This window comes from Homo sapiens, chromosome 22 (assembly GCF_000001405.40).
Source record: "Homo sapiens chromosome 22, GRCh38.p14 Primary Assembly".
NCBI lineage: Eukaryota > Metazoa > Chordata > Mammalia > Primates > Hominidae > Homo > Homo sapiens.
Genome location: NC_000022.11, coordinates 42907614 through 42930266, shown reverse-complemented (window position 1 = coordinate 42930266; position 22653 = coordinate 42907614). Strand labels below are relative to the sequence as shown.

Here is a 22653-nt window from a genome sequence, read left to right as displayed (position 1 = left end):
CACAGAGACCCTCAAAATAATAGTGGCTTAAAGAGAAGTTTATTCCTCTCATCTGCAGAGTCCAGAGGTGGCATGGCTGGTGGGCACACCACACTGTCAGAGACCTAGACTTCCTCTGTCTCGTTTTGTGCATGGCTCTGTTCCCAAGTCACCTCATGGTTCGCGATGAGAAAAGCATGGCATTCATATTTAACACGGCGAACTTTGTGCTAGGATTGGGACACAAAAATAAACTCCATGTGGTTCCTGCCCTCAAGGATCTTAGGTCTCTTGGGAGAGACAGATGCCTGGATGACCGCCCTCCATCTGAGGTTGATTGGAAGGAGCCCTGTGTGAGAGGAACACAGGCAGGCAGGCCAGGCAGCAGAGCTGACATTTGGGAATAAAGGAAGTCTTTATGAAAGAGGTGGCATCTGATCTTGATCTTAAAGAATAATTAGTATCTTGACACTCATCTGGGAGGCTGTTTGAGGGAGAAGGATACTGTGAAGGGAGGTACGAAGACCTGAAAGGGCAGGGCTCTGTTTGGAGCCCCGGGTGGCGGGTCACTCTCCTGCCTTGTCCGAGTTGAAGTAGACCATCATTCTGGAGCAGACGTCACACAATTGGAAAGATGTCCCCAGCTGTGTGATTAGTATGACATCCATTCTAAAAGGTGAACAAAAGAACCTGGAAAGAAACCAGACAGGATCGTTTTGGAGTTCTGAGATACTCATTCTTTTGCCTGTACTTTGGAAGCAGGATCAAGCCATTCGTAGGCACGCCACTCCCACTGAACATTTCACAATCCACTGAGCCCAGTGCTGTCACTGTGTTTCAGTTCTCAGAAGCTATTGACAGCATCTTCAATGAGAAGTCCTGGGACCCAGAGTCAGAGCACTTTTTACTGGTTTTGCAAGATACAAATATTAATTGCTGTTGACTTTCCCTTTAAATTTTAGCCTCTGTATGTGGGCAGGACTTGTAGCATAGATGAGACCTTGTGTTACCAACATTGTAAGTAATTTATGTGATGTGGACGTGCTTGGGAAGCATGGACTTTCTTTATGCTGACTGTGGCTTGTTTCACAGTGAGACCCTGATAATGAGCTCAAGCCCGGACATTGGGGTCCTGGTGAGTATAGTTGCACAGGGCGGCCGTCAGGCCTGGATCTGATGAAGTAGGGAGGATCTTTGCAGCCATGCTCACTGCACATACACACTCTTATAATTACTCGGCTTTAATTCACGTTTATTCTTCCATAATCTCCTGCTTATAGGAGGCTGTCTTAAAACATTTTAAACTCAGAGAACTCTAAGAGCTTGTTGAATCCCACTCTCTTCTTTTCATGTGAAAGTAGTTGGATGCTGAGAAGATAAGGGACTTGCCCAATGTCCCATTGCTGTTTAATGGCAAATTTGGGATGAGGCTTCTAAATTTTGGCACTGAGAGCTCTTTGTAAGTGTAAAAAATGACTTCAGAATTATCAAAAATGAAATTATGTTCAGTGTAGCTTTATTGATTTTGTTTGTTTAGAGGTATATGTATTTGTGTGTATTTTTCCTTAAATTTGGTGTTCCAGGTAGGGTATACCCAGTGATTCCCTTCACCAGCCTGATTACCTACAAGTGCCTCCACCACTATTTTGGGGTGTACTTCATTGTCTTCAGACATTAACACCATCTACTGAGTTTAATGAGCATCAGTCCATCAGGCCCAGTGAAACACTCTGACAACTTACATATTAAAGGAGTTTCACATCTAAAATTTCACAAATGAGGCTTATGTATTTGAAGTTTCTTAAAAATAAAAACAAAACCAACCTGATTTCTGTACTCTGATGCATGAAATTAGAAGCTATGTGAGGCTCACCTGCCTCCACAGCAACTGAAGTCTTGTTTTATGTGAACACCTTCTTTTCTTTCCTCCTTCTGTCCATTTCTGATGCATGTGTAAGATGGCAGGTGATATTTCATCGCCTACAGCACTCTCAGATTCAGCACGTGAAGAGACAGTGAATCACTTTAAGGACTTCAGAGGCAGCGACATTTTTTAGCCAAGGTGTTTCTTTGGGCCATTTTCCTCCTATGCCTCTCCGGGTGTGTTCCCGTCCTTTCTCAAGGGTTTATGGTTTGCCCCTTAAGTGTAGATTGAGGATGTCAGATTGAAATCTTGCTCTTTAAACTGTATCCAGAGGTTCTTCAACTCTCTTTGGAATGTGTGAGCCAGAGAGCCTCAGGGAAACAGTGGGACAGAAGTGGAAGCTGCATGTGCCATGACATCCCCAACCTGGGCTCCGCCTGAGGACTACCTGGAAACCCAAACATCTGGACATGAGGGCTCGGCTCAGTGGAGTATGGGACCATGACATGACGTTTTACAGCCATTAAAAATGACTGAGGCCGGGCACGGTGGCTCACGCCTGTAATTGTAGCACTTTGGGAGGCTGAGGCAGGCGGATCACCTGAGGTCTGGAATTCGAGACCAGCCTGACCAACATGGCGAAACCCCATCTCTACTAAAAATACAAAATTAGCCAGACGTGGTGGTGCATGCTTCTAATCCCAGCTACTCGGGAGGCTGAGGCAGGAGAATCGCTTGAACCTGGGAGGCAGAGGTTGCAGTGAGCCAAGATCACGCCATTGCACTCCAACTTGGGCAAGAAGAGCAAAACTCAGTCTCAAAAATAACTAACTAAATAACTAAATAACTAAATAAATAAATAAATAAAAGACTGGGGCCAGGCGTGGTGGCTCACGCCTGTAATCCCAGCACTTTGGGAGGCCAAGATGGGTGGATCACTTGAGGCCAGAAGTTTGAGACCAGCCTGGCCAACATGGCGAAACCCTGTCTCTACTAAAAATATTTTTAAAAATTAGCTGGGCATGGTGGCGGGCACCTGTCGTCCCAGCTACTCGGGAAGCTGAGACATGAAAGTTGCTTGAACTCGGGGGCAGAGGTTGCAGTTAGCTAAGATCGTGCCACTGTGCTCCAGTCTGGGCAACAGAGCGAGACTCTGTCTCAAAAAAAAAAAAAGTAACTGGAAGATACCCAGACAACAGGGAGAAATGCTGCTTATGCAGCTGAGGAAAGCAGAACACAGGATGGCTTGTTGGCTGCAAGGACAGTGAAGTCAGTCCATAGATGATGGGAGAAGCAAGGGCTAAATGAGGAGAGCGGAGGCTGGTGGGACAGAACTGGCCATGAGGAGCCCCTGTTGGCCTTGACAGCTCTGTGCTAGCCAACATTTGGACTTAAAATCATCATGGGCTTGGCAGTGTGGGGAGGCTGGAAAGAGGAGAGCCAGAGGTTCTCCTGAACAGGAATCGTGAGCTTCAGAGCTGCCGAGGAGCCCAGCCAGGTGTGGTAAGCAGAAGAACTGCACTGAGGTTGCTCTGTTGTTTGTTTTTCCTTAACCTCCTCCAAGCATTTTTTTTTTTTTAAGAGATAGGGTCTCTCTATGTTGCCGAGGCAGGAGTGCAGTGGCTATTCACAGGCGTGATCATAGCTCACTGCAGCCTTGAACTCCTAGGCTCAAGCAGTCCTCCCACCTCAGCCTCCTGAGGAGCTGGGACCACAGGTGCACTCAGCTCCAGAATGATTTTTTTTTTTTTCCTGTGGGAAGAAGAGGGCTTGGTCTGTCATGTTGAGTGAAACAAGATGTGTTTTCCCCCCTCTCTTTTTCTCTTTTCTTCTTAACAGAGATATTGGAGAGTCTGTGCTGTGTTTCTTTGAAGTGATTCTGTGTCCTCGTGGAGTTCCTAAGATTCCCCTTCCTCCCACTGTTTTTCTTCAGTTTGCAGTGGATAGTTCTGTGCCATGAGGTGGTTTGAAATCCTCTGGTTTTCGGTGATGGTTTCTATAGCAACAATGAGTTGTGTCTGCCTGGAGATGCTGGCTGTTTTTTTAATCTCTGGAAGCACCTTTGAGTGTGTTCTGCCCCACCCTGCCCAGGCCGATGGGTGCTTCTGGAGGGCCTAGGACCTGCTGAGCTCTAGGCCTCAGTGTGATTCCCTTGAGGGAGGGGCCAGCCTTTAAGCCCAAGCATCTTGCAATGCGCAAGCTGTTTCCCGTTGTTGAATCAAATGTACTACACCATGTTCCAGAGAGATATAAGTCACTTTATTTGCTGATCTCTTATCTCTTCCTTTGAGGAATGTTCACTTTTCCAGATGAAATCACTGGAAACAAAATGAGTTGTGCCAGGTAGTTGAGCTCTTAAAAAACATCCCAGCTTTGCTAATGGTGCAAAGCACTATCTTAATGTGGGCCTTACTTCCTGAGCGCCCACTGGCTTATAGGGGGTGACCTGGGTGGTAGAGACAAGCAAGAGACCCCATTCTTCCAGGAGACTGACTGGACATACATGAATAGCCCGAGCTGAGCCAAGGCTGGTGACATAGAGGGCCCAGGGACCCATGGGCCGCAGCTGGGTTGTCAGGCAGCAGGAGGGCCTCCCGTGAGGCCGGTGGTAGACAGGCAGGGTAGAACCACACAGCCCCCAACCGTGGTTGCTAAACCCATGTGTGGTTTAGATTAACATGTGCAGTAGTGTTTACGAAAGAATTCTAACCATTAGAGTTATAGCACCTTCACATAAATGCTCTCATTATTTTCCATCTTTGAATCCTCAGTCTCCATAAATCAAAATTACCCAGGCTCTTCAACTTTTCTTGTCCTGAATTCATCCAGCAATTTACAAAGCAACTGCTTTGTGTTTGACACTGGATGCTGGGGCTGTAGCAGTGATCACAGCTGACATTTGTCCCTGCCCTCCTAGAGCTGATACTTTTTTTTTTTTTTTTTAAAGACGGAGTCTTGCTCTGTCGCCCAGGCTGGAGTGCTATGGCGTGATCTTGGCTCACTGCAACCTCTGCCTGCCAGGTTCAAGTGATTCTCCTGCCTCAGCTTCCCAAGTAGCTGGAACTACAGGCATGCGCCACCACACACAGCTAATTTTTGTATTTTTAGTAGAAATGGGGTTTCACCATGTTGGCCAGGCTGGTCTTAAACTCCTGACCTCAAGTGATCCGCCAGCCTCGGCCGCCCAAAGTGCTGGGATTACAGACGTGAGCCACCGCCCCGGCCCTAGAGCTGACTTTCTAGAGGGTCAGACAGACAAGAAATAAAACATTTAAGTAAATTATGTAGCTCGTTAGGAGGTGGTAAGTGCTTGGGAGAGAAAAATAAAGCAGGGAGGGGGTCTGAGGGGGCTGGGGCAGGGTTAGAAAAGTTCTCACTGGGGCCGGACGCAGTGGCTCACGCCTGTGATCCCAGCACTTTGGGCCGATCACGAGGTCAGGAGATCGAGATCATCCTGGCTAACACAGGTGAAACCCCGTCTCTACCAAAAATATAAAAAATTAGCTGGGCGTAGTGGCAGGCACCTGTAGTCCCAGCTACTTGGGAGGCTGAGGCAGGAGAATGGCGTGTACCCGGGAGGCAGAGCTTGCAGTGATCTGAGATCGTGCCACTGCGCTTCAGCCTGGGCGACAGAGCTAGACACTGTGTCGAAAAAAAAAAAAAAGAAAAAAAACCTCACTGGGGTGGGGGCTGATACAGGCCTGTGGGGCAGGAGGGAGACCATTTCAGGGAGGAGACGAGCACATTCACTGTGCCTGGCAGTGCCCAGACCAGCGGAGGAGCCAAGTGGAGCTTGGTGTAGGGTGGACAGCAGTGGTGGCGGGTTGGAGAGCAGGGTCTGAGGACAAAGTAGCTCGGTGGAGGTGAGCAGATGCGGGCTGGGAGGACCTGGGCTTTTACTCTGCATGGGGGGCTTAAGAGCAGCAATGTGGTCTGCCTTGCATTTTGAGAGGGTCACACTGTTCAGAGTGGACTGAAGTCAGATTGTTAAATATATCATGCATTGAGAAAGCATGCAGCAGTGCATACAGCTACAGTTGTATGTACAAGTATGAAATTAATATGTTCTAATTTTTAAAAACAGTAGCACAGATACAAAACACTGAGTTACTGTGGGAAGCTGGGAGCTCTGTTAGAGGGAAGAAGACTGCAGCCACACAAAGGAGAGGTGATAGTGGCACTGACAGTGGAGAGATGCAGGGGGTCTGGTCATGTCCTTGGCTTTTTGGAGGCAAGGCCGGTCCAGGAGGTGCTCATGGACCTCCCCCGCTCCCTAAAGCTGGGGCCTGGGGGTCTTGTGGGAACCTCCCTTCCTTCTAGTATGGGGCCATTCATGAAACAAAGTCGGGTATTCTCCAGGATTTTTTTTTTTTTTTTTTAAAGAGACCAGGTCTCGCTTTGTCACCCAGATTGAAGTGCAGTGGCACAATCGTAACTCACTGCTGCCTCAAATTCCTGGGCTCAAGCAGTTCCCCTGCCTCAGCCCCCTGAGTAGCTGGGAGTACAGGCGTGCACTACCACACCTGGCTAATTTTATTTTTTAATTTATTTTAGAGATGGGATCTCACCATCTTGCCTAGGCTGGTCTTGAATTCCTGGCTTCAAGCAGACCTCCCGCCTCAGCTTCTCAAAGTGCTAGGATTACAGGCATGAACCACCATGCCCAGTCAGGATAAATTTTTAGAGGAAATAGTTGAGGCCGGGCGCAGTGGCTCACGCCTGTAATGCCAGCACTTTGGGAGGCCGAGGCGGGCGGATCACGAGGTCAGGAGATCGAGACCATCCTGGCTGACACGGTGAAACCCCGTCTCTACTAAAAATACAAAAAATTAGCCAGGCATGGTGGCGGGCGCCTGTAGTCCCAGCTACTCGGGAGGCTGAGGCAGGAGAATGGCGTGAACCCGGGAGGCGGAGCTTACAGTGAGCCGAGATCACGCCACTGCACTCCAGCCTGGGCAACAGAGTGAAACTCTGTCTCAAAAAAATAAAAAAAAGAAGAAGAAGGAGAAATAGTTGAAGATGAAGTAGCTTAGTGGAGGTGAGCAGATGCGGGCCTGCGGGCCAGGAGGACCTGGGCTTTTACTCTGCACAAGGGACTTAAGACCAGCAATGTGGTCTGCCTTGCATTTTGAGAGGGTCACCGTGTTGAGAATAGACTGAAGTCGGATTGTTAAATATATCATGCATTGAGAAGACATGCAACAGTGCATACAGCTACAGTTCTGCGGCCAATTATGAAATGAATATGTTCTCATTTTTAAAACCAGTAGCATGGGTACAAAACTCTGAGTTACCATGCAGCTTATCTATGATGCCAGATTAGTCCTTTCTAAAGTGCACCCTGCCCCACAGAAGCATGTGAGCTTCCGCTTTGTTGGGTGCTGGGACAGCCACAACACTCACTCCCTCTGCCTCTGCCGGAAAGACCCCTCCCCTGTCCTTCTCATGCCCACTGCCCATCTTCCTGCAGTCCTCAGAGAGCTCGCATTCTATCTCAGTAAGCCCGCCCCACCCCCAGGTCTTTTAGAGTGCCCTACTTCTCTGTGTCCTGGTGCTTTTCACACCATATAGCTGTTTTTACTTTGCTGTGTGCCAATCTGCCCTAGTAGGATGTCAGCCCCAGGAGGGCAGGGACCCAGTCTGCCTTGTCCACTGCCCCTCCCCCAGCTTAGAAGAGTGCCTGGCACATGGTAGATGTTCACATGGTAAATATGTCCCTTATCAAAGGGCCCTCTCACCTTGGGCCCAAACATTGGCTTAGAATAAATCGTTATTTCCCAACCACTGAAGAATCTCCCCCCAGATAGTGAAGAGGAAACGAGCTGCAGGTCAGCCTGTGCTCAGTGCAAGGCCTGTGGAGCGGCCAGAACCCAGCCAGCCAGGTGTGCTCGGGCCGTGGCAGCGAGGATGTCCACCTCTGCCTACCTCTGCAGTTAGAGGATTAGAGCGGGGTATCGGGGGCTTTCTCCCGAGGCCAGCTTTCAGGAGAGATGAGCAACATGGTCTTTTTACTCAGAATGTTCTTGCTTTATGAAAATAGCCTTTTGGCCTAAAAAATGACCTGTTCTTTTGTCTGGTTGTGGAATAAATTAAGGGTGTTAAGGGGGAGCTGGATGTCCTTGTGAATACATCATTTGTTTACCTGATATCTGTTATCAAGCCCAAAGGGGAGGAAGGAGGTTATGCCAGCTTCCAGCCTGTGCCACGGTCACCTTAGCAACCTCTGTTAACCTCTGAGACTCTGCACACCATCTAAGGAATGGCTCTGACTCACTGTACTTACATACATTGCTGGCAGAAGTCACTGGAATCTGAGATCTGGAACTGTTTTCAATACCTCAGTCATTCCCGGATTCCCAGATTCCTGAGAAGTGCCCCTTAGAACAAAAGGGTTGGGTGGCTCACACCTGTAATCCCAGCACTTTGGGAGGCTGAGGCAGGTGGATCACCTGAGTTCAGGAGTTCGAGACCAGCCTGGCCAACATGGCGAAACCCCGTCTCTACTAAAAATACAAAAATTAGCCTGGCATGGTGGTGAGCGCCTGTAATCCCAGCTACTCGGGAGGCTGAGGCAGGAGAATCGCCTGAACCCGGGAGACGGAGGTTGCAGTGAGCTGAGATCGCGCCACTGCACTCCAGCCTGGGCAATGACAAAGCAAGATTCTGTCTAAAAAAAAAAAAAAGCTTCTAAATGAAGTTTCCAAAAGTTAGAAAAGCTATTTTCTGGCTCCTGATTGCTCCCTTTTCATAGCAGCCTGTTTGTGTTTTATGGGTACATAACCCTTGAGTCTCTCCAAGAATTCTCATCAGATTTCATTAGAATTTCTCTCTTGTTCCCTCAAGTATTTGTTTTCCCCTGATTTCAGTTTGAACTTTATGAAAGGGTAGGGCTGATGGCATAGGAAGCTGAGCTGGTTCCCTCTTGGCCCTTCCCCTAAATGGGAGAGTGGCCACATCTCTGTAAGAGTCTGGGCAATGCCCCAGGTGGGTTTCCCTGAAAGTCATCTGTACTTGATGGCTTGGCTCCAAATGCAGCTTTTTTTTTTTTTTTCTTTTTTCTTTTTTGAGACGGAGTCTCACACTGTCGCCCAGGGTGGGCGACAGTGACACAATCTCGGCTCACTGCAGCCTCCACCTCCTGGGTTCAAATGATTCTCCTGGCTCAGCCTCCCGAGCAGCTAGAACTACAGGCGTGTGCCACCACGCCTGGCTAACTTTTTGTATTTTTAGTAGAGACAGGGTTTCACCGTGTTAGCCAAGATGGTCTCTATCTCCTGACCTCATGATCTGCCCTTCTCGGCCTCCCAAAGTGCTGGGATTACAGGCGTGAGCCACTGCACCTGGCCCAAATACATTTTTAAAAATGACCCTGGAGCAGGCACAGTGGATCACTTGAGCCCAAGAGTTCAAGACCAGCTTGGGCAATACGACGAAACCCCGTCTCTACTGGAAAATACAAAAATTAGCTGGGCGCATGCCTGTGGTTCTAGCTACTGGGGAGGCCGAGGTGGGAGGATCACTTGAGCTGAGGAGGTTGAGGCTGCAGTGAGCTGTGATCACACCACTGCACTTCAGCCTGGGCGGCAGACCGAGACCCTGTCTCAAAAAAAAAAAAAAAAAAAAAAAAAAAGTGTGATAATTCATGATAATTGACCCTCACCCCTGCCACTCACAACTTTGCATTTCTCAACCCTGAGCTTGGCGTTCCTACCCTGCCAAGGCCTGTCTCCAGCACTGGCGTTTTTAGGTGGTTTTCTTCTCCTGGTGCACACCTGGCTGCTCTCTTCCAGCACGTCCTCCACCATGGGCGGTGCGGCCTTGTTTCTGCGTTGTTACAGCTTCCACCTCTTAATTCAGCAGGCCTTTGGGAGGAAGGAGAAGGAGGTATGTTTGCCTCCCTTGAATTTGTTTCTTTCCAAAAAGTGACACTAAAATAGCCATGCTGTAATGTCATTATTTTGGAAAAGAAATAAATTCAGAGGAACTACATGGGAAACATATTTTCTTACATGTTTTTGCCATTGTGATGGGAAAGAATCCAGAATAACTCAGCACACACCACCCCATTCTAAAAGTTTATTTCAAAATCACTTGTTGGAATTCGGATGGCATGCTTCTGATTCATCTTGCATGGCACCCAGGGTAGCCCGTGAGAGTGAGTTCAGGTCTGGAGTGTGTGCAGGAACAGTCTCCCTCACGTGTAGCCCTTGTTCAGAGTTCACAGAACTCATTCAGCATTGAATTCCGGTATTGGAGCTCAGTTTCTTTTTTTCTTTTTTAGATTCTTTCTTATTTTTAATTTTTAAAGTTCTTTTAGAGACCAGGTCTCACTCTGTCACCCAGCCTGGAGTGCAGCAGTATGATCGTAGCTCACTGCAGCCTCCAGCTCCTGGGCTCAAGTGATCCTCCCACCTCAGCTTCTTGAGTAGCTGGGACTACAGGTGTGTACCACCACCCCTGGCTAATTTTTCTTTTTTTTTTTTTTAGAGATGGTGGTCTCACTGTGTTGCCCAGGGTGGCCTCAAGTGATCCACCTGCTTTGGCCTTTCAAAGTGTTGAGATTTCCAGGCGTGAACCACCGTGCCTGGCTGAGCTCAGTTTCTTTTTCTTTTTCTTTCTTTCTTTCTTTTTTTTTTTTTTTTTTTTTTTTTGAGACAGGTTCTTGCTCTGTCACCCAGGCTGGAGTACAGTGGTGCAATCTCGGCTCACTACAACCTCCACTTCCCGGGTTCAAGTGATTCTCCTGCCTCAGCCTCCTGAGTAGCTGAGATTACAGGCGCATGCTACCACACCCAGCTAATTTTTGTATTTTTAGTAGAGACACAGTTTCACCATGTTGGCCAGGCTGGTCTTAAACTCCTGACCTCATGATCTGCCTGCCTCAGCCTCCCGAAGTGCTGGAATTACAGGCGTGAGCCACCACGCCCAGCCTGAGTTCAGTTTCTTTAGGAAGAAATAATCAGTCAACCACTGGGTGCCAGACAGTCTGAAATGTGCAAAAGAAGTGCCAGATGAGTCCCTGTCCTTGGAAAGACCAGGGATGACTCATTTGTCTGTCACTTTGCACTTTCTCAAAATTCTTTCACAGCTGTCGCCCCGAGCCTCTTAATACCCTGGGAGGTAATGAGAGCCCATGTTGTACTGCCTTACAGACAAGGACAGTGGCTCTCAGAGGGGACAAATAGCTGAATTACAGAGGTGGAGCTGAGACTCATTTTCGACTCAATATCACACTCTCTTCCCAGGAACTTTACCTTCCAGATGAGAAGCCCCCAATTAATTATTAAATACACATTTTACATATTTTTTGCATTAATAAATTGATTTCCAAAGGCTCCAGCACTGTTTGGCATTAAAGAGCAGCTTGTCCCATACGTGTGCACAGGTATGGTAAAGGTCGTTGTAGTCGGCTCAACCTGGAAGAATGAATGAAGCAGAGCCAGGAAACATGCCCTACCTGACCTCGTTTTGAAGAAACAATCGCTCTCAGAAGCCTCTCAGTCTCCTCAGCTTATGTGTTTCTTCAGCTGAGAGGGTGCTGCAAGCAGATTCATTTTTATGGTTAAGGACATGTGTGTGTCAAAAAAAAATTATAGTAGTACTTCCTGACAGGCCCAGCGCCTTTGGGGATGTGGTAGAGATCAGGGTCAATGTGGAAGCCCTGAGGCTCCAGCCTCCCTGGCAGGTGGTGGGACTCTGGAGAATCCTCCTGCCCTTTCTTCTTTTCGCTGCCAGAGATTGCCGGATTCTGGAAATGCCTGGTAGCTGGGCATGTGGTGTCTTGTTGGAGTTGGGCAGCGTGGAGTCTGATGGTCTGGGTTGAGTCTCAGCCTAGCACTTAAGAGCTATGGGTCTGTGACCAGTGATTTGAATTATCTGTATCTTGGTTGCCTTTTCATCAAATGGAAACAATAATACATCTTTTATAGGATTTTTGAGGTACAAAAATAATATATCTGAAGTTCACCTCACCCATCTGTTGGTGCTGAGAGGTACTGAGTAGCTGGTAGCTGCTTGGATGGTGGTTTATCCCACTTCTAGAAAATTTGTAGCTTGGGCTCCCAGGTGGAGCAGTCTTGCTTGGTTTGATGCAAACATGGCAGACTCCAGGCAATATAGCTGTCTTTGGGGGATATAATTCAGTCATCAAATAGCTTTTGAACACTGCATGGTGCCATGAGGCAGCTCTTCTAGCTCCTTGGACTCCCTATGAGGTTGAGCATGGCTATTCTAGGGTGTGGCCTGTCTGCAGTGGCCCTGGTGTGCAGCTGGTTCCTACTCAGGATGGGGTCATGCCCACCATAGCAACTGTTACCTGCAAAGGACATTTTTACTTTACAAAGCATTTTCACATCCTTCTCAGTTGACCCTCACCACGATTCTGCCAGGCAAGTGGGGATAATATTGGTGCAGTAAACATTATATTTAAATACAGTTGCCCTGGGACTGAGTGTTCCCGTGCAACAAATGGCACCATTAAGGCATAAAAAGATAGAGCATAGCCAGGCAGTGGCACACACTCTGTAGTCCTAGCTACTTGGGAGGCTGAGGCAGGAGGATCCCTTGAGCCCAGGAGTTAAAGGCCAGCCGGGGCAACATAGTGAGATCCCATCTCTAAAAAGAAAAAGAAAAAGAAAAGAGTACCAATCAGTGAGGGAAATGCAGATTAAACCACCATGGCTTACTAACATCTTCTGAAAGGCCAAGATCGACAGACTGTGCCTGGAAATAGGACTATAGCAGTAGTTCATCACGGCACACCGCAGAGCAGTGCGTGTTCACTTTTTTTTTTGTTTGGTTGGTTTTTTTGAGATAGGGTCTTGCTCTGTTGCCCAGGCAGGAGTGCAGTGGCACAATAATAGCTCACTGCAGCCTTGACCTACTGGGCTCAAGCAATCCTCTCGCCTCAGCCTCCTGAGTAGCTGGGACCACAGGTGCGTGCCACCATGCTTGGCTAATTTTTTTTAATTTCTACTTTTTGTAGAGATGGGATCTCACTATGTTGCCCAGGCTGGTCTTGAGCTCCTGGGCTTAGGCATTCCTTCTGCCTTGTCCTCTCAAAGTGCTGGGATTACAGGTGTGAGCCACCGTGTCTGACCGATATTTAGTTTTTCATGTTATATGTTCTAGAAGATTTGAACTCAGCACTGAGGTGGTTAAGATCAGTGGTTAAGAGCATGACTGCTGTCAGCCTGCCTTTATTAAGGTCTCAACTCCGCTGCTTGGGCAAGCTCCAACCCTTTGTATGCCCCAGGTTCCTTGCTTTGACAATGCCCATGGCGAAACCGCTACCCCATAGAGTTGTTAGGACTAAATGGAGTGCACGCGTGTAGTGCATGGGGCGCAGTGTCTGGCACATGAGGAGTCGCCATAGGGGTGGGTATGACTGGCTTCTTTGCTGTTGAAGAAGGGAGGGCTGGTGGCAAGGTCACAGTGGCAGGTGGCAGCGTCACCAAAAGTGCTTATCCCAGTAGCAACAATGACAGGAAAACAAAAATCAAACCCAGCCCCAGTCACCAACATTTCCGAGTACCTTCGGGTGGCTTGCTGTGGTGATTCTAAGAACAATGGCTATCACTTTTAGGGTGTCAGATGTATGCCAGGTGACTTCGTCACTGCTGGGCCTTCTCCATGCCTGCGAGGAAATCACCTTATTGGGTTGAGAGGCTGCCTCTTGAGAGCTGCTGGTGTGTCCCTGCACATGGATGCCGTTTGAAGTCATGGGAGTTCCAGAGATCAGTGCTGGGAGGGATGGGAGGAGCCATAGAGCGGACTGCAAGGTGTGCAAGCAGTTGGGGGAGGAAAGGGAGGCTTGTCAGGGTGAGAGCGGGGAGCCAGGAGAGTCCCATACGCTGAGGCTGGTGCGGCGTGCCGTGGGAGGGGTGAGGTGGTTGGACAGGGCCCCTGCTGCTCATATCCCGGAGCAGGGGCAGGAGAGAGGGGACTTGGGAGTTGTCATTGAGAACTCAGCTCGGTGCCTGCCCTCAAGGCCCCCCTTCCCCACCCCCCATCCCCACCCCCACCCCAGGTTGTTGCTCTGTGAACATCAGAAATGAGTTCCCAGATTGGCCATGGTTGTACAATCAGTTGGGTTTTCTTTGTGGTGCAGATTCTTGTCCCCCAGGTCCTCCCCTTTACCTGCATTCCTTGTGACTGTGGAGCTGAAGGAAGTAGCAAGGACACTTTGAAGCCCAGGGTGCCGGCCAAGAACAATGCTCCCATTGAGGTAGGCCGTGCCACGGCCTGTGACCTGGGGGTACTGAGACCTTCATCTCATTTAACCTTCACTGAAACCTGGTAAAGCACAGCTCAGGAACTGGGGTTCAGAGAAATTACATGGCTTTCTGCGGTCACCCAGCTGGCCAGTGGTAGAGCTCGGATTTCCCGCCTTCCACCATCCCAGGCCTTCCCCACAGGCACCTCGTCTGCATTACGTCACTGACTCTTTGGGCAGGAGACTTTCATTTCTTCCCCTCACAGTCTCTGTCTTTTTGGGTTTTCTATATCTTGCCTCAGTGTCGCCTTAGGGCTTCGGATATCTTTGCTAGATTCTGACTGCACAGTTCAGTGAGACCTTGTATAAGATGTGCTTAGAGGGTTCAGATGAAAGTAGTTGATTGTGAATTATTCCAGCTCAAGAACTGAAGTGGTGGTGCAGAGCTTCCTAAAGTAATTTCTGTTGGGTCTGAAATGCCTTGTGCATTTTATAAAAAGATTTGTCTTCCTAATTCTGTTTTACTTAAATTAATAAAGATGTATATAATCTCGGAGAATGTCTAAGTTGGAAGGTGACAGATTTGTGGCAGGGAGGAGCTGGCTGAGCATTAAGATGAACTCTTAAGTAATGCACATGGGGATAGTTGAGCTGATGTTATTACAGATTGAGCTGTGGCCACAGGGGATACCCGTGGGGTACGCTTGTCCCTCATTGCACCTGAAGGCATTCTACAGGATGTCACTGTTGCTGAGTGCAGTGCTATGATGAGATCCTGGTCCCAGACAGAAGGAAAGTGAATAAGTATGGGCCTTTCCCAGCTCTGCCACCATGTAACCGGAGAATGTCCCTTCCCCTTGCTGGTTGCTCCTTGTTCCTTTTGGTCAGCTAAGAGCATATGTCCTGTCTGATGCCCTTGGCAGACCCAGAATCTTGGTTATATTACCTCTCTCCTCAGTGATTCAGGCTCTTACTCCTAAAGGCTGCCCACTGTGCTGAGCCTCTCCTTGGCTCCTGGCACTTAGTGGGCTCTTAAATCTTAGGCCCGGTGTGGTGGCTCATCCATGTAATCTCAGCAATTTGGGAGGCCAAGGCAGGAGGAACGCTTGAGCCCAGGAGTTTGAGACCAGTCTGGGCAACAGTGAGACCCCAGTTTCCACACATAAATTTTTTTTTTAATTAGCTGGGCCTGGCAGCACGTGCCTGTAGTCCCAGCTACTCAGGAGGCTGAGGCGAGAGGATTGCTTGAGCCCATGAGTTCGAGGCTGCAGTGAGCTGTGTGATCATGCCACTGCACTCCAGCTTGGATGACAGACAAGACGCTTTGTCAGTCAGTCAACCACCAGTCAGTCAATCAATCAGTCTTGTGCAGAACTGTGTCAAGACCACAGCTGCATCCAGACAGAATCTGAATTCCTCTGCCCAAGTGGCTCAGGTGTCAAGCTGCCTCTCAGTCCGGAGCAGGGGCCTGCTCTTCCCTGCAGCTGCTCCCATGGCTGGCCAGGCAGCCCAGCTGGTGGCTTGATTGGGCCACTTTGAGACTCACCTGAGCCCAAAGCCCTGCTATTCCCTGAGAAGCCTAGAGCAGAGACCAGCTGCTCTGGGTAGAAAACTTTCTCCTGCTGAAACATGGGGTGAGGCGACTCCAGGAGGGCCCTGGCTAGCAGCATAGGATTCCATAGAAAAAAGGCTCACACCTGTAATCCCAGCACTTCGGGAGGGCAAGGTGGGTGGATCACTTGAGGTCAGGAGTTTGAAACCAGCCTGGCCAACATGGTGGAAACCCCATCTCTACTAAAAAATACAAAAATTAGCCGAGCGTGGTGGCACATGCCTGTAATCCCAGCTACTGGGGAGGCTGAGGCACTAGAGTTGCTTGAACCTGGGAAGCAGAGGTTTTAGTGAGCTGAGATTGCACTACTGCACTCCAGCCCGGGCAACAGAGCCAGATTCCACCTAAAAAAAAAAATTACTGTGAGAGGTGGCATCAGGGCCCAGGCCAGGTGGCCTGTCCAGCCTCTGTGAATCCTAGTGGTTCAGATGACACGCTGCCCCTATGATTATGGAGCAGAGCCCTAACCAGTGTGGGAGAACCCCTCACTGGAGTTCTCTCCATGAGAGCCTGGTTAGGAGCGTGCATGCATCTTAGTCCTGCAACAGTCTCCTCACAGCGGCAATGTCTTTGGAGGACTTGGCTTTGAAGTACCGTTATCTGTTGTGGACTTTGTCTCTGTTGCTGCACAGCAGTGTGTTTACCTTTAGGAGCTCTGCAATCCACCAGATTAAGCCCTTTTAATTAGCAATCCAATTTTAGGTTGTAGGAAGCCTGATTTACTTAACTTTGAGATTGTTTTTGGAAAACATCTTGGTGTAATGGAGAGAATATTACCTTAGCAAGCAGGCAGAGCTGGTGTCAAATACTAGTCTCCACCAGCCATTACTTGGACAACCGTGGGCAAATTACTGAACATCAATTGTCTTGACTTTAAAATAGAGACAGAAGTAATGATAGTAATCATAATTACTATGCAATAATAATAGTGGCAACAATAATTCATTATTTACTATGTTCGTAGCACTTACTAAGGGTGTATAACAGTACTTAGTAAGTTCGTAGCACTTACTAAGGGCCAAGTATTGTTCTAAGCTCTTGTATATATTTGACTTGCAGCAATTCTGTGTTGTAGGTTCCATTAGTGTCTCTCTTTTTTTTTTTTTTTTTTTTTTTTGGAGACGGAGTTTCGCTCTTGTTGCCCAGGCTGGAGTGCAATGGCACGATCTTGGCTGACCGCAACCTCCACCTCCCAGGTTCAAGCGATTCTCCTGCCTCAGCCTCCTGAGTAGCTGGGATTATAGGCACATGCCACCACGCTTGGCTAATTTTGTATTTTTAGTAGAGACGGGGTTTCTCCGTCTTGGTCAGGCTGGTCTTGAACTCCTGACCTCAGGTGATCCGCCCGCCTTGGCCTCCCAAAGTGCTGGGATTACAGGCATGAGCCACTGTGCCCGGCCTATTGTCTCTTTTTTCCAGATAAGGCAAGCGAGGCACAGAGAGGGTAGGTAACTTGCCCACTGTTGCCCACCTCATAAGTAATGGGTCTGGGATTTAAGCCTAGGTAGTCTGACTCTGGAGTCTGTGTTTCTTGCTCCAATTCCAGGCTGTGTCACAGAGAATCATGAAGATTCATGTGATTACATATGAAACAGGACCTAGAACAAAGTCTTGTGCCTTGTTGGTGCTCAAAACAAGTTGGCCATTCTGTCTCACCCCTTCCTGTTGCTAAGCTAAGGCTTTAGACTGTTGACTGTGGCAGTGAGGAAGGTCTTGGATCTCTGGCTGTGTGATCTGAACACAGGGTAAGGTAAAGAAAGGTGGGGTCACCTTTTTACCAAAAAGTCAGACAGTTTCATCTCGGCTGCGGACAGGTCATCACACTAGCAAGGTGTGGTTTGTGCTTATGGGAGTCCTTCAGTTTCTTCCCTCCAACAGGGGAAATAATTGCCGCCTTTACCCTTGCCTGGATTGTAGATTGCTGAGTCTGTTATTCAGAAGTGATCCATTTAGCTTTCCAGCTGAGCCACACACAGACAGTGTCAGAACAAACTGGTCTGAATTTGTGGCTTCAGTGGCGGAGTCAGTAAAGGTGGAGTTGAGTGGGGACAGTGCTCACACAAGTGGAATGTGGTAGCCACTCTGGAGAGGGGAGTAGGGTGTCAAAGGTGGGATTACCTCCACTCACGTTTTATCCCGGGTCCTAGCCCTACCAGTTAGGTAGAGTAGGTCGGGATGGGCAAGCCCAGAGATCCAAGGACTCTGCCTTTTATGCACATGCACCCCTCGCCCCCATCACCCACCATGCACACACACAGACATACACATATGTGCCCAGAGTTGATTAGAGTCTACTGGCTTTCTGCCACCTAAAGGAAATATTATAGACCGCCCTGTACTGAAGGCAGTGATTAGAAACGGGAAGTTGTGAAATAGAGATGACTTGTTTCTTTACCTTGGGAATTTAAAAACCACTATGTTATATGTTTTTCATTTATAGGTTTGTCTACAGATTTTGAGCGTTCGAAGTTGACCCCTGACTAAGTATACTTTGCTGCTCCCTCAGCCTTTGAAAAAATGTCTGTCACATATGATGATTCCGTTGGAGTAGAAGTGTCCAGCGACAGCTTCTGGGAGGTAATGCACCTGCTTTCTTCCAGTGAATGAAGTGGCCAGGCCAATAGTGTCTGGCAGGCCCTTTGGTTTTTTTGGTGGAGGTTGGGAACTGAGGTGAACATACCCCCAAACCAGCCATGCATTTGTAGTCAGACCTAGATAGCAGCAGAAAAGGTTTGGACACTTGTTTTTAGGCAGTTCAGGTATGCCTTAGCCATCATCGAAGGCAGTGAACTTACCTTGCTAGGAAAGGCTGATACTTAAAGAGGTTAGGGGTGTTTATGAAAGGTCTTGGGGATCACCTTCCTTTTTATGTTTGCCATGGTGTGAGTGGGAGAGACAGACACTAATTGCTCAGCTTATCCTACGAGGCACTTTACTGTTGAGTTTTATGTAGAAACAAGGAGGGCTGTGATTTGACATCATGCTGGACAACACAGGCAAGTGGCCAGAGGGCCAAATGCCTTCAAACTTGCTGGAGCATCTGCCGCCAGTCTGTACCCATGAGTGGCCCTCTTCCTGATTGGATTATTTTTGTTTTTTTGTGGAGGCGGAGGGTGTTGTTCCTGAGTCCCACTTACTTTTCCTTCCTGCTAGTTAATGGAAAGTCCATCTTTTTTTTTTTTTTTTTTTTAACAGTTGAGGTCTCGAGAGCGCAGGCTGGAGTTCAGTGGCACCATCATGGCTCACTGAAGCCTTGATCTCCTGGGCTCAAGCCATCCTCCCACCTCAGCCTACTGAGTAGCTGAGACTATAGGAAGTCAATTTTTGGTCTAATTTTGTCCCTGTGGCAAAACCCCTGGAGCTTTCTTGGCCTTCATGGAAAGAGGCTTTGCATGGCCGGGCGCAGTGGCTCATGTCTGTAACCCCAGCACTTTGGGAGGCCGAGGCGGGTGGATCTTGAGGTCAGGAGTTCAAGACCAGCCTGGCCAACATGGTGAAACCCCATCTCTACTAAAAATACAAAAAATTAGCTGGGCGTGGTGGTGGGCACCTGTAACCCCAGCTATTTGGGAGGCTGAGGCAGGAGAATGGCATGAACCCGGGAGGCGGAGCTTGCAGTGAGCCGAGACAGCGCCACTGCACTCCAGCCTGGGTGACAGAGCAAGACTCCGTCTCAAAAAAAAAAAAATTATGTGTTAACTGAGTACCTGTAGTGTGCTAGGCAAGGGATGTGACAGACTGAGTTCCTGCCCTCCAGAAGCTGGCTTCTGCCACAGCAGAAATAAATGTGGAAAGGCACAGAGCATGCAGGTCCTCTCTGCTGCCACCCCTCGGCTGGTGGCATCCTTCTGGAGGGGTGAGGGGGGCACCCAGCTCAAATTTCAGCAGCCGGAGAGGCACATCTGCCTGAGAAATATTTCACTTAAGACAGCAAGAGTGACAGGAGCAGTGACAGCCAAACAGGTCGCCAGCCACATCTCACAGCATGGCAGGAGGTTGGCCGTGAAACTAGATGAAGCAGGACCAGCAGTTACACGACGTGGTTTGGAGGTGCCCCTGGAATAGTGCTAGAATTCAGGACTGCCTTTGCCCCCGCTTGCAGGTACAGGTTCACAGTAATCAGGTCCCGCTGGCTGGCCCCCCCAGAGAGGCTGTGGCCTCATTAGTGCAGGAGCGCTTATGGAGCTGGCAGCAGCTGTGAGAGCCTTCCTGTGAGCTCTCCAGCCTTTAGAAGTGCAGGCCCTTGTTCTCAACACTGAACCAAAACTATAGATAGAAACCTTTCCAGTTATGGGGAGCCTCTTTTTTGTAACTGTAGTGACATTGCTGGCTGGCACCAATCATTCCCTGCCTTGAGCTTGGTGGTGGTGCAGACAGGACAAGCACACTCAAAAGGCCCTTCCTTGTGAGGGATAGGCCAGGAGAGGCAATGGGGACAGGTGAAGACATTGCTTTGGAGCCAGGAGGTCTGGGTTTGACTGCTGACCTGATCACTTACTTCTGTGTATGGCTTTGGGCAAGTTACTGATTTTTCTTTGCCTTCATTTCCCAATCTATAAGATGGGGGTAATAACGGTACCCATATCCTAGTATTGTGAGGGTTAAAAGAATGAATAAACGTTAAGTGTTTTAGGGCATCAGGGCAAGGCTGGTGGGGGCCCTTCCCTCTGACACGGGAGCTGAGGGAGTCGGTGTGCACAGTCAATGTCTGTTCCTGCGGTGCCCTTGGCGACATTGTCTTCATTACCCACTTGGTGGCAGAAACTGCTGGGAAAATTATGTAGCTAAATATAGTGCTATTACAGAATTCTTCAGCTGCTTGTTAAAAAACATTCAGGTGAACGTTGCCAGTGTATATTGTCAGCATATATTAAATCAACTAGCTTTAACAAGTCCAGTAATTAAGCTCTTATGCTCCCTGTTAAATTCTCAACTGCAATAATGTCAGTAGACAAGAACATCTCCTTTTGCCTGAAAATGCTCAGGCGGGCTCTGCTCAGCTTGTGATGCTGTCCCTGAAATTACTCTCCAGCTGGTATCAACTCCGCAGTGCTGTGGTCGTCCGCCTTCTCCATGACGGATGTTCGTTGAGTGGCGGAGTGACTGCTCAGTGATGGCCTGCTGGGATCTGAGAGACTCAGGTGCACACTGCCAACTGCACATCTTCCCAGGCAGGTAGCAAGTTCCTCTTTCCCATGGAAGGACACTTTTCCAAAGAAAGCCTTGTGGTCTTGAGGTGGAAAAGTTTTTTGTGTTTAATTTTACTCCTTCCCACCAAAAGATACTAACTGGAATATGTCATTCCAGAGCCATCTTCTGTGTGGCCCTGTCCTCCAGGAGCCTTTGGCTGTGACATTTGGAGGAATAAGGTAGACACTAGGCAGGTCATCATGCCAGGTGCCGTAGGATTTGCTAGGTTTGCCCAGGGGGAAGGGCAGGAAAGGCAGCATGGGGTAGTGGACGTTGCTGCACTTGGATGCTTGCTGGACGAATGAAGGAACCCATACTGACCTGTGGGAGGAGAGGTTACCCACAGGGACATGATACTGAATAGAGCTATTTAATGCATATTCGGAAGGAGTACCTCCTGCATTCCCCCAACCCTGTAGATATAGGGGAAAAATAAAAAGAGGAAGAGGGGAGAGGGGATCCAGTTCCCACAAAGAAGATGCTTATGGAGTATGAGAGCAGGAGGGACCACCCCCAGCTCTGCCTCTCAGTAACATGGTCTGCTGGGCAGAGTCAGCAGAGGAGGCCTGTGGCTGAGTAGGGTTGGGCCAAGAATTGGGAACAAGTAGAAGGGATGGCATTCCAGGTTGGAACCAAGTCTGGAGCCTGAATGAGTGTGGTCTTACAGAGTGCTGAGGACCTTGACCTTTTTGGAGCTAAGGGCCAGTTTTGGAGCAAAATGGGAAGTCGTGTGGGATTACAGTGGCGGGGGCCAAGTGGAGGCAGTTCCCCAGGTGGGTCGCTCCCTCAGCAAGTCAGAGCCTGGTCTGGCCCGCCCACAGGCTTCACGGCAGGGCATGGGGCAGCTTGGCTACTTCTGGCAAGTTTTCCTGACTTGTTGCAGGAGCCCAGGGGCCCTCCTCCTGCCTTTCCACTTCTGGGCACTGCTTCCAGGCCTTCTCTTTGGTTCTGGGAGCTGGTGTCCAAAGGGCCTGGGCTGTGAGCCTTGGGGCTTTTCACGTGTCACCAGTGCTTCCTGGCCTCCCTTACCTTCATTCAGTAGGCTCTGGGAACAGGATGGCAGGTCTGTCCCTAGCAGGGCTGAGAGCCGCTGCCTGCATCTCTGAAGGCTCCTTGGGGGCCAGGCTAGGAGGGCAGACGCCACTTATTTTAGGAACTGGAGCCTGAGTCTGCCTCAACAAAAGCTCCCCGGAGGCGGGATTTCTGCACAGCTGTCAGCTGTCTGTGCATTTAGAGCTCAGATCTTCTGGATGAACCCAGGCTGAGTCTGACCTCTGTGCACTATCTTGTGGGTACAAAGAGCCCCTGAGAAGAGTATTTGGGGAGATGAAGAGAACATAAGTATCTTGTGTCAAATATTCTGGGAATGTTAGCCCTGAAGAGTTGGCACGTGACTCTCAACATTTACCGTTCCCTGCCAGGAAGGCGCTCCCTGTAGGTTGTTGCAACTTGCTCTGAGTCGGGCTGGTTTCTCTCAGACTCTAGCACTGCAGGACAGCTCATCACGTGAGAACACCTTCATATTCATCATCCATGTGGAGTGATACTTTCCCCATCCTTCCATACCAATTCTATAGGACACATATTTAGAAGCTGCCATGACCCGGGCCCTGGGCTAAGTCCTGGGCACCCCATATGAGAGCCCAGCCTCGGGCCTCCTAGAGCCAGCGTTGTATGGAGAGCAGTTAGGAGGCGGCAGAGCAGTGCCCTGAGCGCAAGCACGAAGCGAGCGAATGTCAATACCACCTCATGCTCAGCAGCAGTGACTGGCTCTGTCTGCTGCCCAGCCGCCTC

At 49.1% G+C, this 22653-nt stretch overlaps 1 protein-coding gene across 10 annotated transcripts in view, besides 2 other annotated features; it reads left to right on the top strand.

Annotated features, from left to right (window-relative positions):
• Positions 1-22653, top strand: part of PACSIN2 (protein kinase C and casein kinase substrate in neurons 2) — a 145384-nt gene that overhangs the window by 84883 nt on the left and 37848 nt on the right. For 9 of the 10 annotated variants that reach the window (NM_001349968.1, NM_001184971.1, NM_001349972.1 and 6 more), the window contains exon 2: positions 18110-18246. The exons of the other annotated variant lie outside the window; for it this stretch is intronic. In NM_001349968.1, the coding sequence (NP_001336897.1) occupies positions 18187-18246 (60 nt within the window). In that variant the 5' untranslated portion in view covers positions 18110-18186. The remainder of the gene's footprint in view (positions 1-18109; positions 18247-22653) is intronic. 10 annotated transcript variants of the gene reach the window in all.
• Positions 3908-4706: an enhancer, noted in NCBI's record as "H3K27ac-H3K4me1 hESC enhancer chr22:43321567-43322365 (GRCh37/hg19 assembly coordinates)". NCBI's record gives its function as "activates a minimal SCP1, AML or CMV promoter by ChIP-STARR-seq in primed H9 embryonic stem cells {active_cell/tissue: H9 hESC(primed)}" and the evidence as "EXISTENCE:reporter gene assay evidence [ECO:0000049][PMID:30033119]".
• Positions 13531-14309: an enhancer, noted in NCBI's record as "NANOG-H3K27ac-H3K4me1 hESC enhancer chr22:43311964-43312742 (GRCh37/hg19 assembly coordinates)". NCBI's record gives its function as "activates a minimal SCP1, AML or CMV promoter by ChIP-STARR-seq in primed H9 embryonic stem cells {active_cell/tissue: H9 hESC(primed)}" and the evidence as "EXISTENCE:reporter gene assay evidence [ECO:0000049][PMID:30033119]".